A 15,209-nucleotide genomic window follows, 5' to 3' on the forward strand; every position below is an offset into this window, starting at 1 on the left:
CTGGCTAATTTTTGTATTTTTAGGAGAGATGGGGTTTCACCATGTTGGCCAGGCTGGTCTCGAACACCTGACCTCAAGTGATCCACCCACCTTGGCCTCCCAAAGTGCTGAGATTACAGGCATGAGCCTCCACACCCGACCCTACCTATTAGTCTTATATAGTTACTTATTTCTCACTCTTTTAGAACAGGTTGTTTTTTGTTTGGCTAAATAAAAATCAATTAAATAATTTTAGTCTATCATAGGCAGAGTTATAGAATGAAATTTAAAATGTATTTGCTTGTATTTATTTACAGCAATATAATTATATAAAACCCATGTCATACTTTAAATAACTTTCTTTCTTTTATAAAAAAGTATGTTTACTATAATAAAATTTAGACAATACAAAAGTAAAGAAAAAAAAAGTAATTCCCCATAATACTACAACCACTCATATTGATGGTAATTCTTTTGGCCTTTCTTCTATCATATACATGTACAGCTCTTGCTCTTTCTTGTGTGTGTGTGTGTGTGTGTGTGTGTGTGTGTGAGTGTAGGCATATATATATAATATATATATCTCCACACGCATTTATATCTGTGTATTTTTACAAAAATAGAACATTTAGTATATGCTGTTTTTACCTGCATTTTTCATTAAGTGATATTGACTGTCTTCCTATATCTTTAAATATTCCTCTAAACATCATTAATGATGGCTGTATGGCATTCCAGTATATGGATTTACCATAATTTATTTACTAAATCTCTTCCTTTGGGTATTCAGTTGCTTACATATTTTCTCTATAAATAATACTTCAGTGAACATCCTTGTAGCACTTATTTTGTGCACACTTAAAAATTTCCCTGATCATTAGAATTACTACCTTAAATTCAGAGTTCTCAGTTTTTCCTAGTGACCCTCTTTTTTCTGAGGAATAGGGCACACTCTGGCCAAGGGTGTAGATGTCAGGTCTCCAGGCCTTTAGAACTACAAACAAGGAAATGGGAGATTTTGTTTTTAGAAGAGGTTTGCTTTCTTGTGCTAGAAGTTATTTTGCAGCAGGAAAAGTAAAATGTACTGAGGGCTTAGTTTGCATTGACATCATTTAGAGCACATACTAATTTCTAGCCATCTCCCTGCAGAGGTTAGAGCTGATTTTGCCATCATTCCCATCCCATCCCCATTACACAAAAGACACATGCATACGTTATGAAAATGTGCTTAGGCCGGGCGCGGTGGCTCACGCCTGTAATCCCAGCACCTTGGGAGGCCGAGGCGGGTGGATCACGAGGTCAGGAGGTCGAGACCATCCTGGCTAACACGGTGAAACCCCGTCTCTACTAAAAATACAAAAAAAAAAATTAGCCGGGTGTGGTAGCGGGCGCCCATAGTCCCAGCTACTCGGGAGGCTGAGGCAGGAGAATGGCGTGAACCCGGGAGGCGGAGCTTGCAGTGAGCCAAGATAGCGCCACTGCAGTCCAGTCTGGGCAGTCCAGCCTGGGTGAAAGAGCGAGACTCCGTCTCAAAAAAAAAAAAAAAAAAAAAAAAAAGAGTGAAATAAAATAATGTACATAATGTGCCTGGCTTATGGTGGACACTTTATAAATCGTAGCTACTACTAATAACAAGACATAATTTTTCAGTAGAAAAATTATGAATTGAGCATACTCTAAATGGAGCAAGTAATTTTTTTTTTTTTAACCACAACAGTATCTAAAAGGCCAGGCATGGTGGCTCATGGCTGTAATCCCAGTACTTTGGGAGGCTGAGGCGGGAGGATCACTTGAGCTCAGGAGTTTGAGACCAGCCTGAGCAACAAAGCGAGACCCCATCTCTACCAAAAAAAAAAAAATTTAGTTAGTCATGGTGGTGGCACACACCTGTGGTTCCAGCTACTCCAGAGGCTGAGGTGGCAGGATCGTTTGAGCCTGGGAGATACAGGCTGCAGTGAGCCATGATCGTGCCACCACATGCCAGCCTGAGTGACAAAGCAAGACCCTGTCAAACCCAAACCAAAAAACTCCCAGTATCTGCTATCATTAGTCAGTCCCATTTAAATTATCCCTGGCCTCTGATTCACAGTAAATCTTTTTTAAAAAGTGGCAGAGCACCCACAGTCCTCTTTTCCTCACCTCCTATTTATTCTTTTTTTTTTCTTTGAAATGGGGACTCTCTCTGTTGCCCAGGCTGGAGTGCAGTGGCGCGATCTCAGCTCACTGCAGCCTCCACCTCCTGGGTTCAGGCTATTCTCCTGCCTCAGCCTCCTGAGTAGCTAGGACTACAGGTGCGTGCCACCATGCCTGGCTAATTTTTGTTTTTGTTTTTTTGTTTTTGTTTCTGTTTTTGTTTTTAGTAGAGACGGCATTTCGTCATGTTGGCTAGGCTGGTCTCAAACTCCTGACCTCAAGTAATCCACCCACCTCGGCCTCCCAAAGTGCTGGGATTACGGACGTGAGCCACTATGCCCGGCCACCTCCTATTTATTCTGCAGCCTAAGGACAGGTTGGGCTTTTGGCCCCATCTGTTCTCTGAAACTCCTCCTTTGAGAGAAATCCTTATTGCCAAATCCAGGAGATTCTTGTGGGCCTCAAACCCTCTGCAGCATTTGACACTATTCGCCACATGGCCTTTTCAGGAAAGCTCTCCCCTCTTAGCCTCAGGGATACCACATTCTCTAGCTTTCTTTTCACCTCACTAGATGCTCCATAGCCTCCTTCCACACTCTTCCTTGGGTCACACTTAAATGGCAGCATTCTTTAAGGACCTCTCCTGGATCCCCTTCTCTTCTGTACCCATGGGCAATCTTGCCTGGCCTCAAATGCCATCTTTAGGCTAATGATTTACCACATATGTCACCAGCTCACTTCTCTCCAGAAACACAGAGGTGTATATCCAACCGACCTCCTAACTTCACTGTCTTCTCAGATGTCCCATGGGTACACACTTCACCTGTTCAAGGCAGAACCAATCCTCTTCCCATCTGTCTTAATCCATTTGGGGCTGCTATTACAGAATATCTGAGACTGGGTAATTTATGAAGAACGGAAGTTTATTTTCTCTCAGTTATAACGAGACTGGGAAGTCCAGGATCAAGGTGCTGGCATCTGGTCCAGTGAGGGCCTTCTTGCTGTATCCTCACATGACAGAAGGTGGGAGGGCAAGAGAATGCCCACTCCTGAAAGCCCTTTCATAAGAGCACTAATTCATTCAAGAGGGTGGAGCCCTCATGACCTAAATCTCCCATTAGACTCCACCTCCTAATACTGTTGCATTGGGGATTAAATTTTCAACACATGAAATTTTGGTCACACATTCAAACCATAGCACTCTTCTAATCAATCTTAACTCTTATGCTGTCTAGCCCAATGACTGGCACTACCATCCATTCCCTCTGGTTGTTAAAGCCAGAAATCTGGGAGTCAACTTGACTCTTGCCCCACCCATAGGCCCTACCTTGAATTAACCACTAAGTTTTGTTGATTCTATCTCCTTAATATCTCCAAAAGTCATAATATTCTTTCTGTTCCCACTACTACCACTTTTGCTCAGGCCACCCATTAATTGGTCTTTATTCTGTCTTATCCTCCCTAGTGCGTTGTCTACCTTGCAGCCTGAGTGATCTTCCTAAATATACATTTTATAGTGCAAAGACCCAAAGCAAAGAGTTTGGTGAGCTCAGGGAACATCCAGCAGATCGGTGTATGGAGATAGAGGCGGGAGGTTGAGTGGGAAAAGAGAAGAATAGAGGAAGAGTGAAGAAGAGGCAACAGGTTGAGGAAGAGAGTAAAAAGGGATGATGTTGGTGGGAAGATAGGTCTTTGCACATGAATTCTTTCTGATTAAAATTCCTTTTCCTGGCCAGGTGTGGTGGCTCACGCCTGTGATCCCAGCACTTTGGGAGGCTGAGGCGGGAGGATCACGAGGTCAGGAGATTGAGACCACGTGGTTAACATGGTGAAACCCCGTCTCTACTAAAAACACACACACACACAAAATCCCTTTTTCTATCTCTTCATCTGGCTAATTCCTAATGTCATTCAGAAATAGCTGGGTGCAGTGGTTTATGCCTGTAATCCCAGCACTTTGGGAAGCCGAGGCGGGCAGATCACCTGAGGTCAGGAGTTCAACACCAGCCTGGCCAACATGTTGAAACCCTGTCTCTACTAGAAATAGAAAAAAATTAGCCGGGAGTCATAGCAGAAGCCTGTAATCCCAGCTACTGGGAGGCTGAGGCAGGAGAATTGCTTGAACCCGGGAGGTGGAAGTTGCAGTGAGCCAAGATTTCGCCACTGCACTCCAGCCTGGGCAACAAGAGCGAAACTCCATCTCAAAAATAAATAAATAAATAAATAAATAAATAAATAAATAAATAAAATCACCTTAGATATCACCTTTTCCAAAAAGTCTTTACTAGTTTAGTTAATGGTTACTTGCCAGTGCTGGTTCCTTAGTTGTAACCATGGTACCACTGTAATACAGGATGTTAATACTGGGGAGACCAGGGTGAGAAGTATATGGAATTCTCTGCACTATCTTTGCAACTTTGCTATCAATCTTAAACTATTCTAAATAAAAAGGTCATGAAAAAAATTCCACTAGCTCTCCTGTGCTGGCTTAGCTGCTGCTTCTGTGTGTCTATGAGACCTGTGCCTACTCTTGTCCAAGCGTCAAAGCACTTAGCATAATATCTTACCATTGTCTATGTGTTTTTCTCTTCCACCAAAATAAGGATGGGAATCACGTCTTCTCATTTTTGTATCTCTCATGCCAACACAGTGCCTAGCAAATGAGAACTGTTTGGTTATCTCCTAAGTAAATGTTTATCGTAAATAAGTTTATTTTAGGGGGCACTACCAAAGCTCTTATTACAGGGTAACCTGAAATTATAGCAAAAAAGAACCTAACAGTCTCAGATATTAGAAATGACTTGTAAGCTCTGTTTGCTCCTCAGCATGGAGGACTTGGCAGACCTGTAGTGATGGATATACTTGAACATCCCGTGCATCCCCACACACAGTGTTTCTGTTTCCGGGAGAGCCACGTGATCCTTGTTCCTCTGAAGGTAAAGAGTCCCAGGCCAGCTGAGCTGGGTTAGTTCACTCCAGGTGAGCCTCACAGGCTGCTGCCAAATCCCAGGAGGGTGTGGACTGTGTGCGAGTGCAGGAAAGCCAACTAGGGCAAAGGGCAAAAGAACCAGTTGGAAGAAGAATGACACCACAGGGAGATGAATCTCCAGTTAAGCAATTCTAGTCCCAGCTCTTGCATTAATGAGCTGCGTGACCCTGGCCAAGTGTCTATCTCTTAGTAGGCGCCAGAGTCCATATCTGTAAAATGAGGGCTTGGATTGGCTGGTCTCTACAGTCTCTTCCAGGATTGATGCTGGGATTTGGTGATCAGTGTGAAGACTGTGGACACTGGTGGAAGGAAGGAGGTAAGTGTGTGTTAGGAGCATACGGCAACTGAACCATTGGTTTGGGTTAGCAGGCACCATGAGCAAAAAAACAAACAAAGCCAAAAAAACGAGTTAGGTCAGAGATGTGTTTAAGTCATCCTGGAAGTAGAGACTTCTGGGACACAATAGTTCGACCGCTGTGTCTTAAGGATTTAACTCAGATCCATCAGAAGGAAACATTCCTAAGTATTGCAGTGGGGGAGGTGGGTGGCAGAGCAGTTGTGATTTATACTTAATAGAATGATCATATTTGGGGAGGTTTTTGTGTTTATTGGCTAATAGGTTTTTTGTTTTGTTTTGTTTTGTTTTATTTTGTTTTGTTTTGTTTTGTTTTTGAGACGGAGTTTTGCTCTTGTCGTCCAGGCTGGAGTGCAATGGTGCAATCTCAGCTCACTGCAACCTCTGCCTCCTGAGTTCAAATATTTCTCCTGCCTCAGCCTCCCAAGTAGCTGGGCTTACAGGTGTGTGCCACCACGCCCGGCTAATTTTTTGTATTTTTAGTAGAGATGGGGTTTCTCCATTTTGGCCAGGTTGGTCTCGAACTCCTGACCTCAGGTGATCCGCCCACCTCAGCCTCCAAAGTGCTGGGATTACAGGAGTGAGCCTGTAATCTCATTATTACATAGTTTTGATTATTTGCTTTTCACTGAAATTATCTGTAATTTAAGTGTTGGAGATGATGCAAAGAGTACCACCTGGAACTTGGCTGGGGCAGGCATGGCAGCAATGCAGTGTTTTTGAATGCAACTGTTAAGTGTGCGAATTAAAATTATTTGGAGTTTGAGGCTATGAACTATAAAATCATAAAAATTCAGCATTTTCTTAATCTAAGTGAAAAAAAATCCAGTTTATTTCAAAGTTTACCTTTCCTGACTAGGTAGTAGTGGCTTTGGTGATTATATTAAAGATTATATTAAAGAAAAGTGTCTATTTGCCTAATTGAGTAAATATATTGTAACCAATCATTACTAGTTAAGAAGATCTAGTACCTGGTAGAGAACTTAGGGTGAGTAGAGAAGAAAATAACAGCGTGATTGTTAAAAATCCTAAGAAGATTCTTTTTGTTCACTGTATCAGAATTTCTGAGAGGTGGGTGGAAACACCCACTTTTGTCCCTGAAAGAACTGGAAATATGTAGTCACAAGGTATGCTTAGAAGCAGGGGCTTCTTGCTCAGAGCAACTCCTTCCAAATCTGGTCCTCCTTCTGTGTGGACCAGGTTTTCTTTCCTTCTTAGAAAAATAGTTATGTAATGATTCACTTGTGTTCAGGGATGGTAGAAAATTGCTTAACCTCATAAAGATTTTGGATTTAAATCCTGATGGACAAGGCACCAGCCAAATGTTAGCGTGAAGATGTGTGTCCTTGGTCCTCAGCATTGAAGTGGGCCAAGAGCAAAGAAAAGACCTTCCTGAAAAATGAGGGAACCAGCCAGAACCAGGGAGAATGAAGGGAAGTGGGCCAAGCATTAGGGCCGCAGGAAGAGGAGCCAAAACCCCAAAACAGTAATAGTTAGCATTATTGAGCATTTCTGCTGTGCCAAGCATGGTTCTAAATCATTGAATATAATTCTCACATCAACCCTCTGAGGCAGGCTCTATTATTTCCACTTTACAAATGGAAAAGTCAGGCATAGAGAGGTTAAATATTCATCCAAGGATAATCAGATAGTACATTGTGGAGCTGGAATACAAATCCAGGCAGTTCCACTGTGGAGTCGTTGCTGTTAGTCACCGTGCTTCAGTGCATATATAACCTTTTGATATTGTATATGACTTTCAGTCTGTGCTTCCAGTACCCAGCCTGGGGCTGGGAAGGTAATGGACTTTGCTGGATGTTCCTGAACTGAATGGAACCCAGCAGACTCAGCCTGTGCCCAAACCTGGTACCTGGAGTCTGTGGGAGGCTCTGTTTGGCTCAGCACAATCCTTGGGAGAAGCAGAATGCTAGTCAGTCCCTGAGGGCTGGCAACAAAGCCCAACCCAGCCAGCTGACAGATCATGGCAGGACTCCCCCTTACTGCATTGAAAGGGGTAGGAAAAGCATGGGCACTCAAGAACCCAGAGCTGACGGAGATGAGAAAGCAGCCTGGTCATTCCATAGCACATACTGAGAACCCACTCTACACCAGCCCCTGCTCTGGGCACTAGCCACTGTCAATATAGAATTAGATTGTACATATTCTGTGCCCTAGAGGAGCCCCCTGCTAATGGTGAGAAAGGCCACCTATCTGATAGGACTTTGGAAATTGCCTTAGGACCTCTGTCCTGGTTTGTACAGCAGATAAGACTAATTCCAAATCATATTGTCATTCTGGTAGAATTTTATTTATTTATTTATTTATTTATTTATTTATTTATTTATTTACTGACTGAGACAAGGTCTCACTCTGTCACCCAGGCTGGAGTGCAGTGGCATGATCATAGCTCATCACAACCTCAAATTCTTGGGCTGAAGGGATCCTCCCACCTCAGCCTCCTGAGTAGCTGGGACTACAGGTTCATGCCTGGGTAGTTTTTAAATTTTATGTAGAAGCAGGGTCTCACTTTGTTGCCCAGGCTGGTCTTGAAGTCCTGGGCTCAAATGATCCTTCCACCTCAGCCTCCCACATAGCTGGGATTACAGGCATGAACCGCTACACTCAGCCTTACGGAAGTTTAAATATTCAGCTCACTGCCCACTAACTGAAATCAGGAGATGGGTTGTATAATCTGTAGACCCCTGGATGAACTTTTTGGAGCAAGGATGTAGGGGCTAAGGTTATGGCAGGTCTGGGTAGACAGAATCTGCAACAGGACTCTGTAATTAAAATGGCAGTAGAGATGGTTGGATAAGAGAGGGGAGAAGGAAAGAAACCTGCTCTTGTATTCATAAAACAGTAGGGCATATTTATCCCGGTGGAAGAGGGCATTTATTCTGTGTGCCAGCCATGGAACCATCTATTGGATCAAGCCTCTTGAGTGATGAAAAAATTGTTGTAGACTAGGGACTTATTTGGTGATGAAAGTGATGTCTGATTTGCTTGTTGTACTGGTGGCATTCTTTGTATTGCCTTGTTTCACTCTCAGAAGTATTCTGGGTTGGATGACAAACTTTATGGTCACACTGCCCATGGACAAAAAGATACCTGTATTTTTCTGGTGGCCCTGAGTTCTAAATTTTAAAGCCAAAGAGAGGTTGGTGTATAAAGCACCTCTTGCTAAATAGCGTTTTCTTCTGGCACCACCACGCTGAATATGCACAAAACTCTTTTCTTTTCCCTCTTAGCTTGGCTGGAAATATAAAACTAAAATTTACTTTAAAATTAATAGAAAACAAAAAAGATTCCCTTTAAACCAGAAAAACAGATACAGGATAGAAATTTATTAAGTTCTTGCCACAGATCAGCTTGACTGGCTCAGTTCAGAATGATCAGTTCCTGGATTGCTTAGCTCTCCTCCACCTAGAGTTCTGGGACACACAGCCAGAGAGAGGCTGGAGTAGGAGTGTCTGCAGGGAACCATAGATGTAAGGGAGTCCTTGGCCCTTCACATGTCATTCTGGGCTATGAGACCCTGAGGGGTTAGTCCTTGACTCCTGGGAGAAGGGAGAAGGGTTTTGTTTTTATTATTTTTTCACATGAAGCCACTGCTTGAAGCATAGTGACAGTGAATGTAGAAATCATTAGAAACATGGTTGAGCACAGTGGCTGACACCTATAATCCCAGCACTTTGGGAGGCCGGGGCGGGTGGATCACCTGAGGTCAGGATTTCGAGACCAGCCTGGCCAACGTGGAGAAATCCCGTCTCTAATAAAAATACAAAAATTAGCCAAGCATGGTGGCTCGTGCCTGTAATCCCAGCTGCTTGGGAGGCTGAAGCAGGGAGAATCACTTGAACCCGAGAGGCGGAGGTTGCAGGGAGCCAGGATCACACCACTGCACTCCAGCCTGGGTGACAAAGTGAGACTCCATCTCAAAAAAATCATTAGAAACAAAAGAATCCGGGGAAAGGAATGAAAGTGGTGTTTCATGAAGTTTAATTGAGCAATGACCTCCTCATTAGCAGCAGTCAGTTCAGTTTATGTGACCTCATTTAAGGAAAAAAAACAAGGATTAGGGGAAAAAGCGCCTCCTTTGTGTTACTGTTCCTTCTCTCTCTCACTGGTACATCCACCTGTATCCTTGTGGTTGTGTTGCCATTGCTAAATTCATCAAACAAGGTCTGTGATTGTATGTGACCTTAGTCATCTATTTGTTACACAAGCATTTTTGGATTGTTTGAACCATTCAACACCTCTTTCCTTTGCATATAAATGGAGATTAGGAGGATTCTTAATAGGTAGTTATTGAGCATCAAGCCTGTCATAGATATTAAGGAGAATTACAGGGTCGGGGATTTATAGTCAAAATTCAAAGAGATGTGAAAATAATGAGAAACCTCATGGTTTAGGTTTTGATGTTAGAAGCTCGCTGCTTCAAAGATCTAGAAATGTGTAATAAAACCATACCAGCTCTTGTTTCTACTTCCCCAACATAAAACAGCTAAAGATCACTGAATAAATTAATAGACGATAGCAAGAGTGTGTTTCTTCAAGGGAAGTTCCTCTGAGAAGCTTGCTATTTCAGGAAGACATGGGTCGTGGCTTTTGTGAATCAATTTTAAAAGGAGCCAGATAAACTTGTGGCCAGCGATAACATCTATAGCTATTGAAGGCGAGACGGGGTAGTCAGTTCTCATGCTGCATTGCATTTAAACCCTGTGTCACGAAGGCTACGTGAACAGGCTGGGAATGTCTTCCCCACAGGGTCCTTGCTCGTATTCAATTTCTCCTGATAAACTGCCTCATTCTCCATGTCAAACCCTTTTCAAAGCTTGACATAAATTCTGGGTTGATGAAGTAACATACTGATTATTTAAGAAACATGGCATAACTTATAAGGACTAGGATGCATGCCCAACTCTTCAAAGTTTTGAACTCTGGGGCCTAGAAACCAATTTCAAAGGCACTGCCTACTTTCTTTCTTTCTCTTCTTTCTCTTTCTTTCTTTTTTTTTTTCTATCTTTCTCTCTTTCTTTCTTTCCTTCCTTTACATCCTTCCTTCTTTTCTTTTCCTTTCTTCCTTCCCTCCTTCCTTCCTTCTTTCCTTCCTTCCACTTTCTTTCTTCCTTCCTGAGATGGGGGGAGGGTAGTTGGTCTCACTATGTTGCCCAGGCTGGACTTGAACTCCTGGGCTCAAGTGATCTTCCTATCTCAGCCTCCCAAGTAGCTGGAACTATAGGCACTTGCCACTGTGCCTGGCAAGACTTAGTTTTCTTTTGCAAATCATTCCTGGGAATTGACACAGAAACAACTTATTAATCTTAAAAGCAACCATATTCATAACTTCATAGTAATGATAAAAATACTAAGAGTATTTAAATTTCAATAAGAATAATAGCTGAAATGTATTGGGGGCGTATTGTGTGCTAGGCCCTGTGTACACTGAAAGTTTCACATGGATTGTCTTGTTTAATCCTCCCAATAATAAGCATTATTATGTAGGTGTTATTATATTATCCCAGTTTTACAGATGAATATTATTACAGTCCAACCGTGCTCCTGAATTCCTGACCAAACATCCAACTGTCCACTCAACATCTCTGTTTGGATGTTTAATAGGCATCTCAGGCCGGGCATGGTGGCTCACGCCTGTAATCCCAGCACTTTGGGAGGCTGAGGCGGGCAGATCACCTGAGATCAGGAGTTCGAGACCAGCCTGACCAACATGGAGAAACCCCGTCTCTACTAAAAATACAAAAAGTTAGCCGGGCATGGTGGCACATGCCTGTAATCCCAGCTACTTGGGAGGCTGAGGCAGGAGAATCACTTGAACCTGGGAGGCGGAGTTTGCGGTGAACCCAGATCACGCCATTGCACTCCAGCCTGGGCAACAAGAGCGAAACTCCGTCTCAAAAAAAAAAAAAAAGTATCTCAAGTTTAAAATGTCTAAAACTTGGCTCCTAATATTCCCTTCTCGTTCCTCTGCCCCCAAGAAACTTCCTCCCCTTCAGTTTTCCTCATCTCAGGTAGCGGCAAGTCCAGCCTTCAGGTTGCTGAGGCCCAAAACCTTGGAGTCATCTTTGACTCATCTCTTTCTCTCAAACCCTGCATCCAATCTGGTCAGCAAATCCTGTTGCTGCACCTTCATAAAGCATATCCAGAATCAGAGTACTTCTCACTCCTCCACTGTTACTTCCCTGCTTCAAACCACCATCCTCTTTCACCCGGATGATTGCAGTAACCTTCCGCCCTCACCCCCTTCAAGTCTGTTCATCATGGTAGCTAAAGTGCTCTTGTTAAAATGCAAGTTCAAAACCTTTCAGCGGCTTCCCATCTGACTCAGAGTGGAAATCAAAGCCCTTACAATGGCTACAAAGGCTCCACGGGCCCGTGTCTTCTCTCACTGGCTGTCCTTCCCTCAGCCTTCCTCACTAGCTTCCTCGGCTCCAGCCTCCTTGCTCTTCCTCAGGAAAGCCAAGCCTACTCAGGGCCCCAGAGTCTTGGCTCTGATTCTTCCCTCTGCCTGGACTGCTTTCCCCAACACCCTATCCACAGGCTTTGGAGCTGCCTCTCTTTCAGGTCCAATGTCACTTTCCCAGAAAGCCCTGCCCTGAAGCCCCATTTAGTTTTTACAACTACCCCCGGCCAGCAGTCGTCATGTTTCTTCCCAACTTTAGTTTCTTCCCAGCACTTGCCACCATTGAACATACTACATAGTTTTCTTAATTTGTTGTCTCTTTCCCCACAATAGAATGTCAGCTCCATGAATGTGGAGATTTTTTTGAATTTTGAATCATTATGGATACATAACAGTTGTACATAGTTACGGGATACATGTGATATTTTGATGCAAGCATACAGTGTATAATGATCAAATCAGAGTCATTGGGCTATCCATCACCTCAAGCAAGGGCAGAGATTTTTGTCTCTTTTTTTTACTTCAGTATCCTTAGTGGCCAGAACAGTGTCTAGCACATAAGAGACACTCCATTTGTTGAATAACTGAATAAATGAGGAAAGTGAGGTTTAGGACTTGCTTGACTTTATTTTATTTTATTTTATTTTTTTAGAGACGGAGTCCCACTCTGTCAAAAAAACAACAACAAAAAACAAATGGTATACTGTTTACACTGTCCTATATCTCTCTTTTTCATTTATCATATCATATATGTTAGAGATTGTGTTATATCAGTACATGAATAACTATCACATTCTTTTTTTTTTTTTTTTGAGACAGCGTTTCTCTCTTGTTGCCCAGGCTGGAGTGCAATGGCGCGATCTCGGCTCACTGCAACCTCCGCCTCCTGGGTTCAAGAGATTCTCCTGCCACAGCCTCCTGAGTAGCTGCGATTACAGGCGTGCGCCATCACACCTGGATAATTGTGTGGTTTTTTTTCTTTTAGCAGAGATGGGGTTTCTCCATGTTGTTAGACTGGTCTCGAACTCCCAACCTCAGGTGATCTGCCCGCCTCAGCTTCCTAAAGTGCTGGGATTACAGGCGTGAGCCACCATCCTGGCCTCACATTCTTTTTTAAACAAAGATACATTGTATTTTATGTATGGACATACTAAAATGTATTTAACCAGTCCCCTATTGATGGACATTTAGGTTGTTTCCAGTCTTTTTCTGTAACAAATAATGCTGCAGTTAATACCTTTGTGCAAGCATCATTTCACCCATGTAAAAATACGTTTGTAGGATAACTTCCTAGAAGAGGAGATACTGGGCCAAAGGGTATGTGCATTTGTAATTGTTTTTTTAGCAAAGTCCAGCCCTGCAGTCTAGCATTTGTAATTTTGATAGATATTGCCAAATTTCCCTTCTTGACCTTTGTACCAATTTGCATTCTCATCAGCAACGTATGTGAGAGGTTAGAAGCTCTTAACCTTGAGTTCACAGACCCTGAAATTGTATAAGCAAATTTTTTGTGCTTATGCGAATCTACATGTGCTTCTGCGGACGGCCCCACCTGTCAGCAGATTCTCAAAGGACTCGAAATCTCCCAACAGGTTAAGAATCATTGCTTGCAGGAAGCCTTACTCTTGAAGATCTAATATAAAGAAGGGATTTCTTCAAATTATAAAATGATTTTGAAAGGATTCTGATTTTCAGAGGGAATCACTAAAAATGTCTTGTGCATTTACAATACAATGAAATTGATGAAATTAAATATGTGCACTTATTTTATTTGGTAGACTCTTTTTTTGCCCAAGTGTATATTGGTTCTAAGAGGATTTGGAGCAAATCCCACTACAATAAAAGCTATGTGTAACAGAAAGATATTTGAGCCTCCAGGTAATACACCCTTTATTTCAAATAATAGTAAACCTGTATGCATAGCTTTGGGTTTATATGTTTAAGATGCTGTATTTGGAAACATTTTTGACATACCTTAGTGCACAGAGCTTAATGCAGAGCTTGGCATACAGTAAGCCTTCAATGTCTATCTTCTGTATTCTTTTTTTCCCTTTACTCCTTATCTTAGAATGTGCAGCATTTCACAGATCTGGTTATAATGACATTGGACCTAAAGTGATTCTCTCAGCCTAGGAGAGAGGCCAGTGGCGATTCCCAGTGGATCAGCCTGGGTATAATAGGCTCTTGATTTCCTGAGCCCTCAGCTCAGTGGTTCTTTCCTCCACTCAGGTCCCAGCACCTATGCAAAATACACTTAAGCCCTTGTCTTCTGCTTCATTTCCTTGACCATTTATAGGCCTAGAAACCCTGACCTATATCCCAGGGGTGTGATGTGGATTGACCAGTAAACCATTATTAATTGTGAAGTAAACATTCATTATTGTTAGCACTGTTTCCGGTCTGGGTTCCTGACCTGGAGAGAGAAACTGCTTGCACAGTGGCTCTCTGTGGGAGTTCAGAACACTCACAAACTTATGAGGGGTGTGTCCTCCTTTGAAGTATGCTAGGAGTACTTCAAAGTTTTTTTGTTTTTGTTTGTTTTTGCTTTTGTTTTTGTTTTTGTTTTTGAGACGGAGTCTCGATCTATTGCCCAGGCTGGAGTGCAGTGGCGTGATCTCGGCTCACTGCAACCTCCGCTTCTCGGGTTCCAGCGATTCTCCTGCCTCAGCCTCCCAAGTAACTGGGATTACAGGCATGCACCACCATGCCCAGCTAATTTTTTTTTTTTTTTTTTTTTTGAGACGGAGTCTTGCTCTGTTGCCAGGCTGGAGTGCAGTGGCACGATCTCAGCTCACTGCAACTTCTGCCTCCCGGGTTCAAGCGATTCCCCTGCCTCAGCCTCCCAAGTAGCTGGGATAATTTTTGTATTTTTAGTAGAGACAAGGTTTCACCACATTGACCAGGCTGGTCTCGAACTCCTGACCTCAGGTGATCTGCCCGCCTTGGCCTCCCAAAGTGTTGGGATTACAGGCATGAGCCACCGTGCCCAGCCTACTTCAAAGTATTTTAAAGGATTTGAGTTCACTGGAGAGATGTCCTGTTTTTAAGTGACTACGAGAACCTGGTCACTGTTCCCAATATCAGAAGGACTGCCACGGGGCAGAGGATGAGGAGTTGTCCTTCATGGGTCCAGAGGGCAGAACTAGGACCAGTAGGGAGGTAGATGTTAACCTGAGAATGGGAAGAACTTTAATGGCTAGAGCAGTTCAACTACCACCAACTGCCTGAAAAAGCAAGAAGTTCTTTCCAGTCATGAAAACGTTCAAGCAAAGGCAAGGTGATTTTTCATTTTCAAAAATAATTTATTGATTAATTACCTACCATGTGCAGGA

General features: G+C 42.9%; 1 protein-coding gene across 2 annotated transcripts in view, besides 1 other annotated feature; it reads left to right on the forward strand.

Moving 5' to 3' along the window:
• Positions 2,314-2,496: a silencer, noted in NCBI's record as "fragment chr9:37600233-37600415 (GRCh37/hg19 assembly coordinates)". NCBI's record gives its function as "represses an EF-1alpha promoter that drives an FKBP-Casp9 reporter gene in an ReSE screen in K562 erythroleukemia cells {active_cell/tissue: K562}" and the evidence as "EXISTENCE:reporter gene assay evidence [ECO:0000049][PMID:32094911]".
• The window catches only part of FRMPD1 (FERM and PDZ domain containing 1), a 143,676-nt gene continuing 133,773 nt past the window's right edge, over positions 5,307-15,209 (forward strand). For both annotated transcript variants that reach the window (NM_001371224.1, NM_001371225.1), the window contains exon 1: positions 5,307-5,417. The gene's annotated coding sequence lies outside the window, so the exon portion shown is untranslated. The remainder of the gene's footprint in view (positions 5,418-15,209) is intronic.

Source organism: Homo sapiens, chromosome 9, assembly GCF_000001405.40.
Source record: "Homo sapiens chromosome 9, GRCh38.p14 Primary Assembly".
Classification (NCBI taxonomy): domain Eukaryota; kingdom Metazoa; phylum Chordata; class Mammalia; order Primates; family Hominidae; genus Homo; species Homo sapiens.